This window comes from Homo sapiens, chromosome 15 (assembly GCF_000001405.40).
Source record: "Homo sapiens chromosome 15, GRCh38.p14 Primary Assembly".
NCBI lineage: Eukaryota > Metazoa > Chordata > Mammalia > Primates > Hominidae > Homo > Homo sapiens.
In genome coordinates, this window is record NC_000015.10 from 29,073,122 (window position 1) to 29,094,413 (window position 21,292).

The 21,292-nt window shown below is 47.9% G+C and overlaps 1 protein-coding gene across 39 annotated transcripts in view, besides 1 other annotated feature; it reads left to right on the forward strand.

Annotated features, from left to right (window-relative positions):
• The window catches only part of APBA2 (amyloid beta precursor protein binding family A member 2), a 232,342-nt gene that overhangs the window by 187,148 nt on the left and 23,902 nt on the right, over positions 1-21,292 (forward strand). For 19 of the 39 annotated variants that reach the window (XM_047432424.1, XM_047432416.1, NM_001353792.2 and 16 more), the window contains 3 exons: positions 1,800-1,880; positions 2,934-2,970; positions 19,954-20,099. In XM_047432424.1, coding sequence (XP_047288380.1) covers positions 1,800-1,880; positions 2,934-2,970; positions 19,954-20,099 — 264 coding nt within the window. Of the gene's footprint in view, positions 1-1,799; positions 1,881-2,933; positions 2,971-19,953; positions 20,106-21,156; positions 21,193-21,292 lie in introns of all 39 variants that reach the window. The other 20 variants (NM_001379685.1, NM_001353790.2, XM_011521489.3 and 17 more) reach the window with 2 other exon arrangements.
• Positions 14,213-14,714: an enhancer, noted in NCBI's record as "H3K4me1 hESC enhancer chr15:29379537-29380038 (GRCh37/hg19 assembly coordinates)". NCBI's record gives its function as "activates a minimal SCP1, AML or CMV promoter by ChIP-STARR-seq in primed H9 embryonic stem cells {active_cell/tissue: H9 hESC(primed)}" and the evidence as "EXISTENCE:reporter gene assay evidence [ECO:0000049][PMID:30033119]".

Below are 21,292 nucleotides of genomic sequence, written 5' to 3' on the forward strand. Positions count from 1 at the left end.
TAATTTTTCTCAAAACCCCAGAGAGGCAGAGTTCCATCAAAGAGCAAGACACTGATAGACTAGGACAGGGGATAGGGCTGGCAGCCATGCCTCGTGGCATCACCTGACTCCGAGAGAAGCCAGCCCAACACTTGGGGTCTCAGTTTTCTCACCTGTCAAGCAGGGGGAAGAATATTCATTGTGTACACAAGAGGCTTTTGTAAACCCTAAGGTGCTAGGTAAATTAGGTAAATGTAACTTTTTTTTTGAGACTGAATCTCACTGTGTTGCCCAGGCTGGAGTGCAATGGCGCCATCTCAGCTCACTGCAACCTCCGCCTCTCAGGCTCAAGTGATTCTCCTGCCTCAGCCTCCCGTGTAGCTGGGATTACAGGCATCCACCACCATGCCCGGCTAATTTTTTGTATTTTTAGTAGAGACAGGGTTTCACCATGTTGGCCAGGCTAGTCTCAAACTCCTGACCTCAACTGATCTGTCTGCCTTGGCCTCCCAAAGTACTGGGATTACAGGCGTGAGCCACTGTGCCCAGCTGGTAAATGTAACTTTTATCATCAGTGTCTTCCTTGCCATCATCATATTGTTATTTCTCGATAATTTATTTCCAGAAAGTTCTGGAACTGGACTTACCATGCAGGCTCCGGAACCTCCTCTGGGAGGTGGACAGGGATTTAAGGGCTATGGATCTGGCTTCTGTCTTCTGGATGATATAAGGAACTAAATAGAGAAAATATACCTAACCTTAAATTTTATTAATTGAAGTAGAAGCAGTTGTAGTTTGGTGTCTTCTTTAAGAGAAGACTTATGACATGTACTTGGGGCATTTTCTATGTTGTAGTAACAGATTGGCTAATTTGCATTTATTCTCATCCAAGAATTTAGGTTTTTTAAAAATATGGCTTTTAACTTTTTGGGCACTCTTGGTGGGAACGTAAATAGTACTACTGCTGTGGAAAACAGTATGGAAGGTCCTTAAAAACTGAAAAATAGAGTTATCCTATGATCCAGTGATTTCACCTCCAGGTATGTACGTAAAGGAAGTGGAAGTGAAGACTCAAGAGATATTTGCACACCCACGTTCATAGCAGCACCATTCACAATAGCTAAGAATTGGAAGCAACCCAAGTGTCCATCAATAGATGACTGGATAAACAAGAGGTGGCATGTACACACAGTAGAATGTGATTCAGCCCTTAAAGGAAGGAAATTCTGCCATGTGCTTCAATGTGGACGACCCTTCAGGACATTTTGCTGAGTGCAATAAGCCAGTTCCAAAAGGGCACATACTGACTGCTTAATCACTCCACTTACATGAGGGGCATAGAGCTGCCCAATTCACAGAAACAGAAAGTAGAATGGTGGTTGGCAGGGGCTCAGGTTGGGGTTGGGGTTGGGCATATTGAGGAGTTTGTTTAATGGGTACAGAGTTTTAGTTTTGGGAAGAGGAAGACATTCTGAAGGTGGATGGTGACCATGGTTGTACGACAGTGTGAATGTACTTAGTGCCACTGAACTGTACACTTAAAAATGGTCAAATGGTGAACTTTATGTTATGTGCATTTTACTGCAATCAAAAGATAACAAATTTCAAAATGATTTAAAATAACTTTTTTAGAAGTATGAAAATAGAATATTAAGTGCATAGCAGTTTAAGTATAATTAAATAGACGTCTGCACACACACCTATACACATACAGACATACACATGCATTTTACAAAATTGTATCACATTGCATATTCAGGTTTTGCATCTTGCATTTCTCTAACATATAAAATCACGATCTTTAACTTCCCCGTTTCCAGGTTTGCAATGGTCTGGAGCAGCCAAGGAAGCAGCAGCGCTCTGATCTCAATGGACCTGTTGACAATAACAACATTCCAGAGGTAATTTTTTTCAAGGATGAGAGTTCTGGGCTGGAACACTCATCTAATGATGGAGTGGCCCACCGAGTTGTGGTCTGCTCACTTTGTCCATGATGTTCTCATCCCACCCGGTGCCTGGGGGAGAGGGAGTCCAGGTCAGGCCAAGTTGGTGTCACCATATGGTGAGGAGGTGAGGGCACACTGGCCTGGGAGGAGGGAGGAGAGGGCCTCCCTGATGTTAGGACCATGCCATGGAGTGCTCTTGTGTTGCAGATGGTGTGTGTGTGGGGGTGGGGGACCATTGGTACTACTTAATTTTATAAAAAGCCATTCTATTCATTGTCTGATAACCATGTTCTAAACTAGGGTTTCTCAACAATGACACCATTAACATTGAGGCCTAGGTAATACTTTGTTTTGGGGACTGTCCTGTGTATTGTAGTTGAGCAGCATCCGTGGCCTCAACCCACTAGATCCTTGTACCTACCCCATCCCCATCCCTGATTTGTGGTAACCAAAAATGTCTCCAGACATTGCCTAATGATGTCCCTTTGGGAACAAAAATCATCCCAGTTGAGAACCACTGTTCTAAATCAACAACAGGTTTTAACAAACAATTTCCTATAAGCTAACAGTGCTATGATGGAAGTTATTTCCCCTTTCTGGTAACATAGTTTAGATGAGATTATTTAACTTTGATGAAATAACGATGGCCACCGATGGAGTGGTATCCAGTCTCCTTTATCTTGCTTTTAAAGATGGGCCTGGATGGCTCTCATGCCCCCTGGTTGGAGCGTCATTGTGTTGGATGGTCCCTAGGCTCCCTTCTAGTCAAGATATGCTAGTCTGAGGGCCCCTAAGTTTTAGATGATGGGCTTTTGGGCCACTCCCCAACATCATGTTGCCTGCAGCAGACTGGTTTCCTGTATGGAGCTGACATCTTCAGAACACCATCACTCATGGGGGGTTTGCTTTTCTCATTATGGCTCATATCACAGCCCTGCTTAGCCTTCACCTTGTGGGCTACCTACTTAACAATTGTTATGTGTTTTATTTTTCCATATTTCCTAACAGACAAAGAAGGTGGCATCATTTCCAAGTTTTGTGGCTGGTAAGTGACTTTGAATTTTATTTCTCAAGGGGCAGTTGCATTTTACATCAAAATAAATGGTGCTTTTAGTTTGGGCATTCACCTGCAAAGCTTGTTTACAAAGCGTGCCTACCTACCAGCAAGGTGCTTGGCCATTGTCTGTTTGAACACTGTGTAGCCCCACTTAGTGGGGAGGGGAGGTCCAGCTGATCTGCCCGCTTTGATGCAAGGAACAGTAGACGATCTCCTTTAATTATACCCTCACTAATTGCATCACAGACGACACTGATGACTGAATAGATTGAGATGTGTCTTTATAAGCAGCTGGTTATAGCTAACACTTCTGATCAGGGTGGATATAATGCATTCAAATTCAGGCTTTTTTTTTTTTTTTAGATCCTTTGTTTTTCTTTACCGTTCCACCCTTTTTGAGGAGGTTAATAGTGCATTTCAACATTCAGTAAAGAATGAAACTGGTCGATATGTTCTGTGTCACTCTTGGGGATGGGGAGCACACTTGCCTGGCTTTGACGGAGCTGAGCATCTGGAGACCTTGCAGGGCCCCTGTAGGAGATCCACTGGGTTTGCTTCTAGTGCTCCAACCTCAGAGTAAAGAGCTTGTTCGGCAGGATTTCTGTCTTTGCCAGGAGGATGTTTCCTGCCCCTGCTAATGTGTTATAATAAACAATGTGAATTTCATTAATTCTTTCAATAAGCTGGTAATTAATTCTTATAAATATTTATGGGAGCAAGGTAAATTAGTTTTCAGAAATAAATGACTTTCAGCCCTTCCCATGCTGCTTTTCTTTTTTTAGCAAACAACTAAAGCCTGGGGAACTGAAGCCCCCAAATTCGCCTTTAGAGAACTAGTTTGAACCAGGCTAATCCAGTTCCAATTGGTTGAAACTGGATTAACTGGCTCAAATCAATTTTGACTGTTATAACTGGCTTAATGCTGCTCAGATTGGGTGAGAATCTGTTTTAAACCATCAGAATTAATATCATGCAATTGAGATAGACTTGGTTCCATTTTGACCAATTCAGATAGGCTAAAATGGGTTTTGCCCAGCAGTTTACATGTGGTTTTAGGTACATTTTATCTGGTTCAAATTGGTTTTCTTCAGGCCACAGCAGGTTATGATGATTCCTGGAAGAGACCACACTCCCCACATTCCCGCTTGTAGTGTTTGATTGGGTTCCTGGTTTATAGGAGCTGGCACCTCGTGAGCAGGGCGAATGCAGTACGTCACTGTGCCATTTTCCTTGGCAGGCAGAAGCCAGGGTGGGGTTGCCAGTCACACTGCTCCAGTGAGGCAGGGTCTCCTGGATCCAAGAAGCTCACTTGTCAGTGTATCATAGTGTCATCTGGACAGAACTCTCACACTAGGAGGTGATTTAGACATTAAATTCCCCGACCCTTGAACCAATCTCATATCTGCAGGGAGTGGGATCGTGAGGGATCGGGAAGCAGTGTCAGTGCCTGGGGTACCTCGGACTCTAGCTCCTGGCATCCCAGAAGACTTGGTTCCCTGCACCACTCAGACTGTTCCAAAGCAAATCCAAACAAGGCCGGTGGCTTAAAACAATTCAGACAGGCTAAAACTGCTGTGACCAGCTAGAACCAATGTGGAAAACCTGAATTTATAGTTTCTTCTGTAGGAGAGAAGCCCTTTGATTGTTATGAAAACATAGAAAACTGAAGCAAAACAACATCCTTTACTATTACAGCATTTATATGCAGCGAGGCCTTCATGGACCAAAATCTTACTCAGCAACAGGAAGAGATCATCATAATGGTGATGCCAAACCCTAGAATATAATGGATATGGGAAAAGTTTCTCCAAATTAAACACCGTTATCAGTTTGAATGCCTTTGGGTACAAGTATCAAAATCCCCACCTAACGTTACACAAATAGGTGTGTGTCTTACATAAAGAAGTCCAGGGTTGGACGTGGTGGCTCACGCCTGTAATCCCAGCACTTTGGGAGGCCGAGGCGGGTGGATCATGAGGTCAGCAGATCAAGACCATCCTGGCCAACATGGTGAAACCCCGTCTGTACTAAAATACAAAAAATTAGCCAGGCGTGATGCTGAGCACCTATAGTCATGCTATTTGGGAGGCTGAGGCAGGGGAATCGCTTGAACCCAGGAGGCGGAGATTGCAATGAGCCAAGATCACACCAGTATACGCCAGCCTGGCAACAGAGCGAAACTCCGTATCAAAAAAAATATAAAAAAAATATTAAAAAGTCTAGAGGTGGCCAGGCACGGTGGCTCATGCCTGTAATCCCAGCACTTTGGGAGGCCAAGGTGGGTGGATCACAAGGTCAGGAGTTCAAGACCAGCTTGACCAATATGGTGAAACCCTGTCTCTACTAAAAATACAAAAATTAGCCAGGCATGGTGGCGTGTGCCTGTAGTCCCAGCTACTTGGGAGGCTGAGGCAGGAGAATCACTTGAACCCGGGAGGCGGAGCTTGCAGTGAGTCAAGATCATGCCACTGTACTCCAGCCTGGGCGGCAGAGCAAGACTCCATCTCAAAAAAAAAAAAAACAAAACAAAAAACAAAAAAAAAAAGTCCAGAGGCAAGAGGCCGCCGGTTCGATGGCTCTGTGATGTCAGGATTGGCGCTGTTGTGTCTCTTGGCCTCCTCTTCAGGCTTGTCACCTCATCGTCACACAGTGTGTGGGCAGCCCCAGCCATTGCTTCTCGTTCTAGGCAGGAAGAAAAAAGGAGAAGGGCTGAAGTCCACACCAGCTGGACGTCCTCCCCTTGACATTAGGAAAGCAAAGGTTTTCTGTGGATTAAGAGGTGATGACTTCTCTGCATGAGAATCGGACCCTCTGTTACCTTTCATAGTGTGCTCCCTGGGTAACCTGAAAGGCAGCGTGTCAGCTGTGTCTCCAGGCAACATTGCTTATGGTGAGATGCTCTTTTTGATAAACTGTATCTAGATGGGAAAATTCTAATGCTTGCGGGGCAGGGCATCCAGGGCTTTGAGCTTCTCACAGTGGTGACTTTCGTGACTGGCATGTCTCTTGAAGGTGACCCTGGAAGCTATGCCCCACCCATGGGGTGATTGTGAGAGATACTGGCTGCTGGGAGCATGAGGCTCTTAGACCAGATGGGTTCCACATGCCCTTCTTGGTGGGAGTTTTGTACCCTTGCAGCTGACCCATCCAGGGAGTTCTGTACCATTGCAGCTGACCCATCCAGGGGCCCATGAGACTAGCTGTGTGGGTGCAGTGTGGACTCCCATCAGAGAGTCCAGGAGGCAAACTGGCGTCTGTCTTGTTCCCTTGGAGTAGACGGCCCCATGTCTAGCTGAGCCTTAGGACACTGCATGCTTCTGAATATCTAGTTGAACCTTACTTAGAAGACCCAGAAGCCTCTTCGACACACTGCTTATTTCTTTGTGGCCAGAGCTGTGTCACATGACCAGCCTCTCAGATGTTAGTGTTGGCCAGACAATCAAACCCTGGGCTTTTTATGAAGGCAGGGCAGGTCTGGAATCAGCCCTGGGTGCCTGCCGCCACTTCCCATCCCACTGCGGGCCCTTCCAGCCTCCTGGCGTGTCCAGTGCTGAGGCTGAGTATGTGAGTTCCTGGGAAGCCCCTGTGTAAGGGAGGAGCAGCTCCTCCACCCTATTTGTGTCTGAGAAGTTGCCCTGAAGGGAAATGTTCCTGGAGTATTCATGAGTATTTGGTCTCAGCTTATGCCTTATTTCATATCAGATAATTGTTGATAATAATGAAAAAAATAATAGTAACAATGCACATGATACCGTCTGAACCCTCGTTGGGGCCTGGTGTCCACTCCCTGTGCCATGCAGCATCTCTCTATTTCATGTCGCCTGGTCAACCACCACGTGAGGAGTAAGTACTTTCCCCCGTCTGATAGGTTAGAAAACTGATGCACAGTGAGGCTAAAGTCACTTGTGTGCAGTCCCATGGCTGTGCGGGGGACAGAGCCTGGACTTGGACCCATGTCTTGGTGCTTGACACATAAACTCGTAGCCGAGGTCATTCCTCCCTACCCAGCATGCCTTCATATACCAGGAATAGGTAAGACCTGTCAGGTGCTTTCTTTGAGCCAGGCCCAGATCTAAGTGTTTTAAGTATATCAACTTAACAATCACTATATCCACAGCTCAGGGAGAGTGAATCCCGGGCCGAAGGTCACCAGGTAGCAAGTGGCAGAGTTAGGATTCGAACCAGTCTGGAATCTGAGCTCATCACCACACTGCACTGCCTGGCGACCCTCACGCAGTGGGTGAGGAAGAACCTTCACTTAGAGAAGACCTACCATGCAGGTGCCAGAGAGTTCAGTGGAGGGGAGCGTTCCAGATGCCAGAGCTCCTGGCCTTGTCAGGCGCAGGATCACAGCCTTCTCTCAGCAGAGGCATTGTGAGGAAGGGCCTGCCACAATCACTGTCTGTGGAAAGTTCTCGGGGTCTAGCGACCCTCTCAGACTGGGAAGGTTAACGCTGCAGAGAAAACCTCCTTATGAAAGTGCGGATTGCACAGAGGATGCACTGCCTGTCCTGCGGGGAGGAATCCGAAAGCAGCCACCCTCAAGATGTCCCCTCCTACAGGACGTGGTGTCTGGCAGCAGCTTGAGCCCAAGCTGCTTAGAGGGTCACTGCCTCTGGATGAGTATATGTGAATGACCAGCTTTTCTATACAGGTAAACACGTGCTCATTAAAACCAAAAGGCTGATGTTAGTCCCAAGCAATGGGGCCTAACAGTGGCAGCTTCAGTACAAAATAACAAAGACTGGTAAATCTTACTCTGCTTTTTGTACTTTGTTCTCCTCATCCAAAGCTCATACAGGATGTTTTGAAACCCACCACCCCACCAGCAGCTTGAGGCTTATGCCAAAATGCTGCCAGGCCTTAGGGTCCTGGGGTCCTTTACAGCCTGTCTATAGCTCATCAACTTGCCCAGCTCCGTGTGGATCATGTGGAAGGCATGGAGATTACATGCCCCAGACCTGGAGCTGAGCTCACCTATCACCCCTTCCTTCTCTCAGGGGTCCTCACAGTGGTAAAGCTGCTTTGTTGGTTTCATACAGTGGGCACATGGGATCTGAGACTTAGTTTGCTCTTAAAATAGGCAGTTGGGGTGAACCTGTTCAGATAAGACTCTTAAAGTGAAGACATCTCCCACCTCCTCCTCTTTGGTGTATTTGGGTGGGGGATGGACGGGAGGAAGGTCACCCTGTGGGACCAGAGGGGATGTGGCGCATTCCAAAGAGGAGTTATGGAAACCCAGATGACTTTCCTTTTTCTACAAACAAGATCATGTTTCTCCTGTACTACATGCAGTCAGCAGGAATAGGGATTCGTCGTTTTAAAATCTGAACTTTTATTCACTAAGTAGAAGTTGTTAAAGATTTCTCAGAATAGTGCTTGTATCAGACCAAGAGCTGCAAGAGTTAAAAATGAGAAATCCCCACAGTACCTCTTGTTCTGCCTATACATCCCAGATCCCTAGTCCTTCTGTATAGTGGAAGCCACTTACATTTCTTGTGAATTTCTCCAGGAATTTCTCAGCTCATCCATAGGCCCTTTTCCTTAAATAGACATTGCACTGGCCACATGGCTCTGTACTTAGCTTTTTCCTTTCTTGCTAGATCTTGGAAACAGCAATAGGTCCACCTGATTATTTAAGCGGCAGCACAGGATCGGTTGAGTGGATGTGGGATGGGGTATTAACCAGCCCCCTTGGACTGATTGTTGGGAGATTTCCAGTCAGTGCAGCAGTGAACAGCCTTGTGGCTACGCCTTTGTGTTTGGGTGTGGGTTCTTTTATGGAGGCGGTTCCTGGCTATGGCAGGGGTACAGGCCAGGAGCACAGCAACTCTGATAGACACGGGCAGAATGCCTTCCCAAGGGGGGACAGCGTACGCTGCTGTTGGTCATGTATGAGAGTTGGTTACGTATGAGGTTCCCACACTGTTACCAACACTGCATGACCGGCTGTTTGATATAAGCTCCAGGCCGATGGGTGCAAAGAGGTGTCTTGTTGATTTCACGTGTCTTTCATAATAAGTGAAGCCAAACACTATTTCGTATGTTCATAGGTGGTTTTTCTTTTCAGTGCACTGCCAGTTTGTTTCCTGTGCTCATTCCTCTGTTAGATTTTCACCCCCAGCTTTATTGGCGTATAACTGACAAATAAAAGTTTTGTATATTAAGTCATACAATGTAATGTATTGATATAAGTTTACATGGTGAAATGACTACCACAGCCAAGCGCATTAACATAGCCATCACTTCACATAGCTACCTTTTTGTGTGTGTGGTGAGAACACTTCAGATCGATTGTCTTAGCAGATTACTAGTATACAATACAGGATTATTAACTACAGACATTTACTCATCTCATAACTAAAGGTTTGTACCATTTGACCAATATCTCCCCATTTCCCCCACCCCTCAGCCCCTGGCAATTGGGAATTTGGGTGTTTCTTATTGATTTGTATTATTCTTTACATATAAAGGAAATGAACCCTTTGGTTTGTACTGTAAAAGTTTACCCCAGCTTACCATTCTTTTCTTCTTCTTCTTTTTTTGGTATGCTTTTTACTTTGCTAAACATGTCATTTAGTCAAATATATCAGTCTTTTTCCTTTGAGCTTACTGAGTTTTTGAGGTTAGTGTGACCATCACACTCCTAAGATTATTTTTGAAAATAAAGTTGTTGGCCAGGCACAGTGGCTCATGCCTGTAATCCCAGCACTTTGGGAGGCCAAGGTGGGCAGGTCACCTGAGGTCAGGAGTTCAAGACCAGGTTGGGCAACATGGTGAAACTCCGTCTCTACTAACAGTACAAAAAATAAACTGAGCGCAGCAGCACGTGCCTGTAATCCCAGCTACTAGAGAGGCTGGGGCAGGAGAATTGCTTGAATCTGGGAGTTAGAGGTTGCAGTGAGCCGAGATCGTGCCACAGTGCTCCAGCCTGGGCAACAGAGTGAGACACCGTCTCAAAAAAAAAAATTAATTGATTAATTAGTTAAATAAAAAGCTGTCTTCCAGGACTTTGGTATTATTTTAAATTATTTAAATAATTGATTTATCTGGAATTTATCTTGGTGTATTTATACAGGAAAAGTTACATTTTAGGCATTTTGTCCCAATAGCTAGCCAGTTATGCCAGAACTATCCAAGGAATCTTTCCCTTGCAAGTTTGAAATGCTGCCTTTACCGTACCCAAATCGTCATGTGGGTCTCGGTCTGTTTCTGGATCTGTTACAGGGACGGTCCATTCAGGTTCCAGATCCAGGCTGCTTTATTTACTGGGGATTTATGGTGCATTTTATTACCTGGTAGGGCTACTTTCAGACCTTGCCACCATCATTCCATTTCAGATTTTTTTCCTAGGTATTTTTGCACTTTTATTTTTCCATAGTAACTTTAAAACTAGCTTGTCTGGTTATTCACTGCAAACTCTTTTGTTTGTTTTGTTTTGTTTTGAGACAGAGTCTCACTCTGTCGCCCAGGCTGGAGTGCAATGGCGCAATCTTGGCTCACTGCAACCTTCGCCTTCTGGGTTCAAGCGATTCTCCTGTCTCATCCTCCCGAGTAGCTGGAATTACAGGGGTGCACCACCATGGCCGGCTAATTTTTGTATTTTTAGTAGAGATGGGGTTTTGCCATGTTGGTCAAGCTGGTCTTGAACTCCTGACCTCAGGTAACCCATCCACCTCAGCCTCCCAAAGTGCTGGGATTACAGGCATGAGCCACCGCGCCCGGCCCACTACAAACTCTTACTGGTATTTTTATTAGGCATGCTTAAAGTCTGTCCATTTAGGGGAAAAAATGTCAGCTTTACAACATAGTCTTTCTAGCCAACAAAGGATTTATCTGTCCACTTGTTCAAGCTCATTTATCTTCATCGGTAAAGTTTTTTCATAAAAATTCAACACATATCTTGTTTGTCTGTTTCTTGTTGTTTTATCCCTTTTATTGTTTTTGTAAATGCTGACTTTCATTATTTTTCAACATGTTGCTGTTTGTAGGTACAAAGAAAGCTATCGATTTTTATATATTAAATTTGAAACCATTGCCTTAGTGAATTCTCTTATTTTTTAAAAATAGATTTTTAGTTGTTTTCTTGAGTTTTTCCTGGCATGCAATCATACCATCTGCAAACAAGAATGATTTTTGCTGCTTCCTTTCTTGTTTTCTATTACTTCTTCTTGCTTAATCAGATTGGGTAGAACAGAAGGAACAATTTTACATAATAGTAGAATATGGCTTCCTAAAAATAACACCTTTTTGAAAGATCTATGCTTTTAATTTTGTCATAAAAACTTCAAGCATATGAAAAAATAGCTTCAGTATTTACCCATTCATGGCTAGTGGTATTTAATCTACACCCTGACCCTTTCCCAGATTATTCTAAAGCAAATCTCAGATCTTACATCATAGCCTCTTTAAATATTTCATATTGTATCTCTAAAATATAGGAGTTCTGTTTTTAAAAATAATTTCAATGCTGTTATCACAACTAAAGTTAATATTTGTTTATGCCATTAAATATTTGTTTTTGTTTGCATTTTCCCAGTTTACAGGGCGCTGTTTGAATGGGGATCCAAACAAAACCCGTCTATTGAGATTGGTCAATGCATTTCATAATTCTTTTATGTCTCTTTTAGGTTGTCCATCCGTCTCTTTTTTCTGTCTTACAAATTTTTGTTGGTGTTATTGTGGAAGAATCTGTCATTTATCCTGTAGATTTTCCTGCAGTGTGGATTTTGCTGATTGCATCTTCATGGTGTTGTTTAATGTGTTCCTCTATTCTCTGTGTCCTGTAAAATAGTGGTTGTTTTTAGACATAGAGGCTTGATCAGATTCAGTTTGATTGGGCAAAAACTTTCGTACATATTTTTGTGTTGTTCTATTGAGGCACATAATATCTGGTCATCTCTTTTTTGGTGATATTAGCAACCATTAATGATCATTGTCTAGATCTAGTAATTGATTAGAAGTTGCCAAATGGTGGTGTTCTAATTTCATCATTTCTTCTTCATTAGTTAGCTGGAATTCTTCTATGTAGAGAAACTTTCCCTCAAGTATTTGGTTACCCTGAATATTGTTCATATAAGAAAAGCAGATTAAATGCTTGATTTCTTCTCTTTTTTGAAAAATTTAAAAATTAATGAGTTGGCTGGGCGCAGTGGCTCATGCCTGTAATCCCAGCACTTTGGGAGGCTAAGACGGGTGGATCACAAGGTCAGGAGATCAAGACCATCCTGGCTAACACAGTGAAACCCCGTCTCTACTAAAAATACAAAAAATTAGCCAGGCGTGGTGGCGGGCGCCTATAGTCCCAGCTACTCAGGAGGCTGAGACAGGAGAATGGCGTGAACCCGGGAGGCGGAGCTTGCAGTGAGCCGAGATTGCACCACTGCACTCCAGCCTGGGCGACAGAGTAAGACTCCATCTCAAAAAAAAAAAAAAAAAAAAAATTAATGAGTTTCCCCGACAGCCTTTAAAAGATAACCGGTGAGGTTGTGTATGTTGTTGTTAGCACAGTTGATGTGTTTTGTGTGTGTTACCATGATTATTGGTGCTCAAGTTTTCTATGGCCAATAAGAGCTTCTTTAGGTTGTTTTCTGAGTCCCGTCAATGTGAACCCAGTAGTCTTTGATTGTTTCCTTTCTTTCTGGTATATTCCAGGATCATCTTAAATATTTCTTGCCCCAGGTCTGGAACCAGTTGGTTCTTTCTCCATGGAGCCCTGTGAAATAACATTTAGAGACTGTAATCTGGGTAGTGTGGTTGCTCGTTGTTGTAGATTTGGTGAGAGTGTATATGTCTATGTGGAAGGCGCCTCCTAAATGGCCCCCAAGGACCCCTGCCTCTTGGTATTCATGGCTGTGAGTCCTTCCCTCCCCCTGTGTGGGGGATGGACTTACTGAGCTGCTTCTATTGAATAGAATATGGTAGAAGAGATGGGATATGGCTTCCAAGATCAGGTTACAAAGAGATGTGGCTTCTGTCTCAGCTTGTCCTTTCTTGTTCTCTCTTACTTGTTCCCTCTGAAGGAACCAAGCTAGCCTGGTGTGGTTGGCAGTTGCCCCATCCAGAGGCCCACGTGGCACAGGACTGATGTTTCTGGCCAGCGGCCTGGTGAGAGAACTTGGAAGTGGATGCTCCCCTCTTCAGGCATTCAGATGGCTGCAGCATCACTGAGTACCTTGCTGCCTGTGACAGACGAGAGGTCCTGAGCCAAAGTCACCCAGCTAAGCCACACCCAGATTCCCGATCCACAGAAACTCTCAGATAATCCACGGTTGTTGTTTTGAGCCACTAAATTCCCGAGTAATTTGTTATGCAGCCAACAATAACTAATACACAACATATTTTTTAAGATCAAATAACGTCATGATTCCTAATGATACTTTGTCAGGTTTATAGGTTCTAACATTTGTAGTTTCTTTTTCCTGTGCCCCAAATTCCTGTTCTCAAGGACACCAGCATAATTTTGCATTGGTTTTATTCCATTAAGCTTACAGCAGTCTCAGAATAACAATACCAAACACTGCCAAGGACACATGATTGTAGATACAGATTATGATTTATTTGCATTTACTTTTGTGTTTAGAATACATCCCACAAGGGATGTACAGTCAGACAACTGTGTTTTAAAATATTTTGGAATAGATCACAACTGGATACACTTTTAGATTCATTGGTTTCATTTTTCTCTTAGTTATTTGGACTTTGCTTTTTCCATTTAATTTTGTTTTATAATTATATAAAATAATTACATGGTATGAAATTCAAATAAACAACACAGGATGTATGCAAAGAGGTCAGTTTCTTCCCCTATTTATCCCCCCACCTCCCAATTTCTTCCCTTCCACTATAGGTAACCATTTTGAGCATTTTACATATTTTTATTGTAAGCATGTCTTCCCCTTTCTTAGGTAAATGGTAGTGGATTAGACTCCCATATCTCCATCTTGCCTTCTTCACTTCACACTAAACCCTGGCGGTGATGCCACAGCTCTGTGCTGTTCACAGGAGCATGGAGAGGATGTTCTGCAGAACTCCACTGTGTGGATAGATGTCTCCTGTTCAGGAGTGTTTGGGTGGTTTCCAGGTTTTTGCTATTACAAATAGTGCTGCTGCAGTGAACCGCCTATGCATATGCTTTTTCCCATTTTTGCCATTTTTTTTTAAAAAAAATTATTTATTATGCTTTTTCTGGGAAGTCATTCTCCCCACTGCAAGGGTTAGGATCTGTCTTGGGCAACTCTGTGCGTTTTCTTGAGCTTGGCTTTGACCTTCCTTCCCTGACTCTCTGTTGTGGCTTCTCTTCCTCCCAGCATCCAGTGACTTAATCTTGCTCATTGGGTGTCTAAAGTTCAACACTGTGGAACCCCCAAATCCCTTTTATCAGTGACAAAGCCTGTGCTGCAGGCCCAGGTGTGGCCACTCCCTGGTGAATGTCCCATAGGTGTGATTTTCAGATGGTGTCTTCTCTTTCGTATCAGCCATATTATAGGGTCACCTTCAGTGGGGGCATCTCAAGGCACAGGCCCTGGCAGTACTGGAGAGTCGGGCCTGGAGGCCACGCCTTAGCTCTGCAGCAGAAGGTCTCACTTGAGACGCCAGTTACACGACTCTGATACTCACCCACTCCTGCCTCCTTTCCCCACTCCAGACCTAGGGGGCACTTCAGGGGGCAGGCTCTCCTGCTGATCTGGTGGCTCGCCTCCTCCCAGTCCTGTCCTGCCCCATTAGAGCTGCAGCCCCTCCTCCCAGTTGAGGCCAGGTCCCGTCTGCACTTTGGAACCTCACACGATCTGATGTCGTTTGTCTCCTGTCCCTTTTGCTCGCCCCTCCACTGGCTTTTGACCACGTCTGTCCCACCCTGCATCTATCCACACCACCCCGCTCTACCTGCCCCTTTTCTTTCACAGCCGGAATCTGGGAGTGGCAGCCTCATTGTCTGCACCTCCCCTGCACCTCTCAGCCCCCTCTCTGGCTCCTGCCCCGGTTCCTCTGAAACAGCTCTTTGAGGTCACGACTGACTTCCTTGACACTGTGCCCAATACACGAGGTCTCCTTGTAGTTGGCCTCCTGCTAGCATGGGTGTAGATGGGCAGGCCTCCCTTTCTAAGCCCCTTCTTTTCTTGGTACTTAGCAGAGCAGAGTCCTGGGGCTTCATCCTGCCCCCTTGCCCATGACCTTCCTTGCAGACTCATCCATGCCTGCAGCTTCACTTGGCACCTGCAGATGGTTCATTCCCAAATCTGTTTTTCTAACCGGGACTCCCGAGTCCAGCCGCCTACTGAGCATCCAGGCTCCTGCCACTAAACTTGCCTGGAATCCCCAACCCAAGCTCAGTCCTCTTCCAGGCACCCTTTCTCAGTGAGGGGCAGGTCTGTCCATCGAGCTCTGCAACCATTGTCTAGCGTCCTCATCTTCTCTCAGACTCCAGTCCACCTTTCCGTCCTGTTGATGGACCCCTAAATCCCCATCTGTTGCTGTCTCTCCATTTCCGTTGTCACCCTGTCCGTACCATCATCACCACTCATGTGCTGGGATGGCTACAGTAGCCTCTCAGCTGCTCTCCCTTCTTCCTCTCTGCTGCCTGCCCCTCTGCCAGAGTTCATTTCTAATGAAGGAGTGGTTGGGCCACTTCCCTGATGGATACCCTGGAGTGACAGTCCTTATGGCCTGTCACCCGTGGCCCCAGGGTCCTCACATCTGGCCAGCGCTTCCTCCCCACCCTCGACTTGTCTCAGCTGCTGGCCCATGCCCTAGGCCTCGGCAGTCCAGACATCCTATAGATCTTCTAAGGTGTCATTGTCTCTGCACCCTAGGGCCTTTGCACCTGCTCCCGCCTCAGCCTGGGAGGCTTTCTCCTCCTTTTGCCTTATGGCTTGTTGATTCCTTCTCCTCCTCCAGACCTCAGCTTAAACAGCAGCCACCCCCAAATTCCTCACCAGAGCAGCCTCCCTGTCCCTTCCTTCCCAGGGCCATAGCCTCCCTTTTGAGCATTCACCATGGCCCATCCTGATGCATTTGTTCTGTGGCTGTGGGACTGATGTCAGCCTCACTGTGTAGCCTGTGAGCTCCATGTTTCTGTCTTAACACCGGTCTTTATACAGTGGGTTCAGAAATGCTGAGCACCTGAACTCATGACAGTGAACTTGGGCAAAGCCACGTGACCCACTTAGATGGTCCTTATTTGTAAAATTGGGACCCTGAGATTGCTTCATGGCGTGGTTGAGGACTGGGTGGAACTGTACCATTGTTGCACAGAGGTCTGGTGTGTTGGGCATGAGGGCTGCACTCCAAGACTCCGTGCCTTTGCAGAGAGCAGCGGGCCTTGTGGATGCACCCCCACACTCCCACATACACCTGTGCTCCAGCTCCACCCAGCCACCTCCTCCCAGACCCCCAGGATATACAGGGACAGGTCTTGGAGCTAATGAGACCCCCTGGGGCCACACTGGCACCTTAGAAGCCTCTGTCCACCACCCATGTTCAGGATAATTTTCTTCAAAGGTGGCAGGAGTGGAGACCCTCAGGCTTGAAGCTGTGGGACTCCCCTCCCCTTCCCTCTCCAGAGGGCCTAGGGTTTTCCTAAGCGGTGTTTCAAACAGAGGCTTCCTCTGGCAGGGGAGAACCTGGAGCGCCTTATTCTTCTCCAGACTGTGCAGATACACTGTGCATATGCCTATGTGAGTAAGATATACGGTGTGAAAAGGATAAATCACTCTCTGGGGAGACAAGATCTTTAAACCTGTATCTTGATTATCTTGTCATTTTGTCTCCCTCTGGTGGTCTCAGCTTAGGGTCAGTGCAAGACTTGAGCAAAATAACAGCAATTTCTACCCAAACATGTAGGGCTAGCTGCTTTCATTTTCTAACGAAGCTGTTAGATTTGGGTTCTGCGTTTCCTGCGGAAGTTGAGAGCTGTGCCCATGAATCTGATATACTCCCCACACCATGCCGCCCCCACTGGACTCTTCTCTGGGTCTGGGTTCTCCTCCCGTGGTGCGTGTGAGTGGGAGGCAGGATGCTGGGGCCACCTTGGACTCGATTGTTTCTCGCTGAACAAAAGAGCAAGGCAGGCATGGAAGGCCCCCAGGCAGAGGTGGGTGGTGGCTGGAGTTGCAGCAAGGCCCTTGAGTGCTTCACTGGCCTCATCCCGGAAGCAGGCATCCGTGGGTGCCAGTGGTGACCCCCTGCCTGGGATGGGGCATCCTTCACACACAGCAGTCTGTGCCCAGATGGGCCCCAGAGCTACTGACGCTCACTTCAGGGGGAGACGAGGCCAGTCTTTCCCAAATCTACTCAAGGACATGGGTCAACATGGAAATGTGAACCTCAGAAGGGTCTGGTGCACTGACCAGGGCCACCCTGGGGGCTGGCGAGGGAGAAGCCAAGGGGCAGTGCCTAGAAAGGTAGGAGTCAGATTCCAAAGGGAGGGCTGGCCTCCCAGCCTCCCCAGGGCCTGGGGCTGACAGGGTGCCAGGCAGCCCCTGCCACAGAGGGGACATAAGGACACTCGCCCAAGGCCCTGCTCACCTGCTGGGGCTGTGAGGCTGGGGTACCTGGGGCGCCTGGAAGAACCAGAGCTTTCCTGCAGAACAAAGTGACGCCATCTAGTGGTCAATGAGAGCCACTGCATTGGGCCCCACTGGGTGACTGGGGCTTCACTGGGGGGTGCCTGTTGAGCCATGCTCACTGGGGACGGCAAGGTGGTGTGAGGTAGTAGAAACAGGCCTACCTCAGGCGCTGGGAGCCTTCCCAGCCCCACAGCCAGATGCCATAAAAGGCAGCACAGGGCATGTCTGGCGAGCCTGTGGCAGCCAGGGCTGTCATACACGCTCTCCAAGCCCCCCAGCTAGGCAGATGTGCACACTTCACTCTGAAGAAGCGCCAGGGTATGGTGGGGGTACTGCATTGGGATAGATGGGTCCTGTTCCCTCTGTGGGGCTGCCTCTGATTCTCCTGGTGACAGGAGAATCCCGGTGTACCCTCTGAGAGACAGGTGGACAGGGGTTCCTCCCCTGGTGCCACCCCTGAATCCCGCAGTCCCCCACATTGGTGCCTGCAGCCCTGCCCAGCTGGGAGAAGGTTTATCGGCTCCAGGGCAAGGGGTGAATGGAGGATATTTAAAAGCCGTGGGAGGACCCCATTGATAGGACTCAGTTAGATGCACAGGGGAGGGATGGGGGTCCCTGTGGGGAGAGACGGCTGGGAGCACAGGTGATCCTCTGACCCCAGGGGCACGCAGACCCACTACTGCCCAGGAAAGCAGGAAGGAGGGCCAAGTGGGCTGAGCACCAACGCGAAGCTCCCCACTTGGTCTGTCTGAGCAGGTGAGGGAGGGGCAGCCAGGAGTTTGAGGCAGTGGAGGGGTCTGGAATAACTCTTGCATGGAGGAAGAGTCTGAGTTTCCCAGAGAGATAGATGAGAGTTGTGAGGTTGTTTGGGGGGCATTTGGGGTCAAGAATTTATAATACATTTATCATGGCACTCATTTGCCCTCTTGGGCAGCTTTTTCCAGCCTCAGGTCCAGAGAAAACAGGTTGGAGATTTGCTGAACTCCTGTGGGCAGATACACAGGACTGGGGTCAGGGAACTGAGGATACTGGGCGGATGTTATTGAAGTGGTGGATGGCAGCGCCCAAGCTGGGCCAGTTGATGATTTTAGCAACAGAATGGGTTAGAGGTGAGACCAGGGATCAGCTGGCTGAGGGAGGGAAGAGGTCAGGAGGTTGCTGGCGCGAGGGCTGGGGAAGTGCAGGATGGCTGGGCCCGTGATGCTGGAGGGACTCAGGGAGGGGCCAGCTGGAGCAGGAGGGGAGCCAGGAAGCCAGGGCCAAAATCCCCAGTGGAAGGGGCTCTGGCCAGGAGGTGGGCAGTCGGGAGGGATAAAGCAGGTGACATGGCCAACATGGGTCTGAGAGGACAGCCAAGCCACGGTCTAGGATAGCTCAGAGGTCGGCTGACTGCAGCCCCAATCGCAAATCCTCCTGGCCCCCTGATTTTGCATATAAAGTTTCCTTGGCACACAGCCACACCTCCTGTTTTACATACTGTCTACGGCTACCTTTACGCCTCAGGTACAACGGTGAATAGTTGCAACAGAGACCACAAAGCCTAAAACACGTACCATCTCCCCCTTTACAGGAAAGGTTTGCCCACCCCTAGCTGGAGCCTTATTGTCTGGCATAGGAGCCACTCAAGATTGGTTTGTGGGCAACATGGACAGGACTTGGGGGTTGGTTGGATATGACTCTAACATGTGGCTCTTTATATTTCAATTAATTAAAATTACATACAAGAAATGGGTCCAGTCCCTCAGCTGCAGGAGCCTCAGTGCCAGTGCTCAAAGCCACATGTGGGTAGCGGATCCTGTATTGGACACTGCAGAGATAGAACCTTCCATTGTGGCTGGCAGGAAGTTTGTTGGGTCACGATGGTCTAGGGGCAGCAGATGGAACAAGCATGATGTTGCCAAGCCTGGGCCTGCGGTGTGATGGGTGTGAGGAGCTACACGGGTGTCCTGAGAGGCTACAGACAGGCAGGAGCCCCTCAGGACAGATGCACAAGGACAGGCCAAGGAGAAGCCCAGGGCACAGTTTCAGGTCACCAGCATGAGTTCCGGGGCTGTGGGGAAGGCATGGAAAGTGCTGTTGTGTTTGGGATGTGACGCCTTCTGGATTTGCAGCCTGTGATTGTCATCTTGAGTGACAGTCAACTGGAATGCTGGCATTGTCCTCCTGACACTGTTTGTGCAGAGTTTTCTGGCCCAAGTGTTGATTTCGCGCAGTTACTTGCAGCACGGGGTAGTGAGGGAAGCAGACCGGCCGCCCGTGGCTGGCTGCAGATGGCAATGGTTGGGCCCTTCTAGTTTGCCCCGCATCCTGGCTGCCGTGTTCCTTGTGCTATGGCCAGGCATGCAAGTTCTTTGTTCAGGGGACTTCTCCTCTAGGAAGACTCTGACTCTGTGCCCTCCTTCAGTTCCAGGGCCCTGCGAACCAGAAGACCTCATCGACGGGATCATCTTTGCTGCCAATTACCTGGGGTCCACCCAGCTGCTATCAGAACGGAACCCTTCCAAAAACATCAGAATGATGCAAGCGCAGGAGGCCGTCAGCCGGGTCAAGGTAGAGGTGCTTCGAGGGCCCCTCGCGGATGCCCGCACACTTTGGGGGGCACTAGCAGGAGGGAATATGGCGGGGCGTAGGCCCTCTTCCAGCTCGGACTGCACAGCCCTCAGCACAGGGGGCAGGAGCGGCCCAGGTGCCAACGAGGCTGAGGGAGGCTTGCGCCTTGGCTGGGAGAAAGCTGGCTGGGCAGAGGCAACCAGCTCCTTAACAAGAGGCCCACGGAATCCCAGAAATACGACCTTTAAAGATCATCGTTCCAAAGCATTCTAGTCATCAAACAATCCCAAATCCCAGTTCAACAGTATGTGTATTTTTAGTGCCATTCAGAGTGCTTCAAGAAAGGGTGAAAAATAAATCACGTTTTATTTAAATTCAGGACCTCAAGAAAAACTTTGACCTGCTTGTAGCTCTAAGTGCTCATTGGATTGTCTGGTTTTGAACATCGGGTGAGGCCGGGCAAGGGGAAGATGAGGCCACGTCAGCAAAATTAAATGGGGTCGGCGGGGAGGGGATGCAGCCATCTGAGGTCTCAGCTCTCTGAGCAAGACAGGATCTGCAGAGGCCCGCCAGCCCAGGGGTGAGAAATGGCAGCAACCTCCTCCCCAGCCCTCACCATACACAACCTCCTCTAACAGAAGCAGAGAAGCACCATGAGGCCATCCGGGGTGGGCAGGAGAAAGCCAGGTAACCCAGGGCAGTGCTGAGCCCTGCTGGCCAGTGCCTCTCAGCAGAGGCCCGGCCCTCCCATCCCAGACCCTTGCCTTGCTCCGCTGCCTGGAGCTCAGCTCCCCTTCCTGCCGGCTGATGGCATCTTTCCTGTCCTCCATAGATGGGGTGGTTGGCAGTCATTTCTAGCGCTCCAGGGACACCTGTGTGGGCTTCTCTTGGTCAGTGTGTGTGCTTGAAGTGGGCAATGGCTGTCCACCCGTCCCTGCTGGGCTTTGCTAGGCACCAGACCTGAGAGTGGGGGCATCAACCACCAAAGTGACATAACCTCACGCACCTTCCTTCTCTCTGTGCCAACTTGTTTTTCTTTTCTCTTCCATGCTGTCAGAGGATGCAAAAGGCTGCTAAGATCAAGAAAAAAGCGGTGTGTAGGGCCTTGAGGCCCTGGGACAGTGTTGTTTGCTTGTGTTTCCGTGGCTTGTCCTGGGCAGTGGGGGCTGGGGGGTTCCCCTGGGGATCTAAAT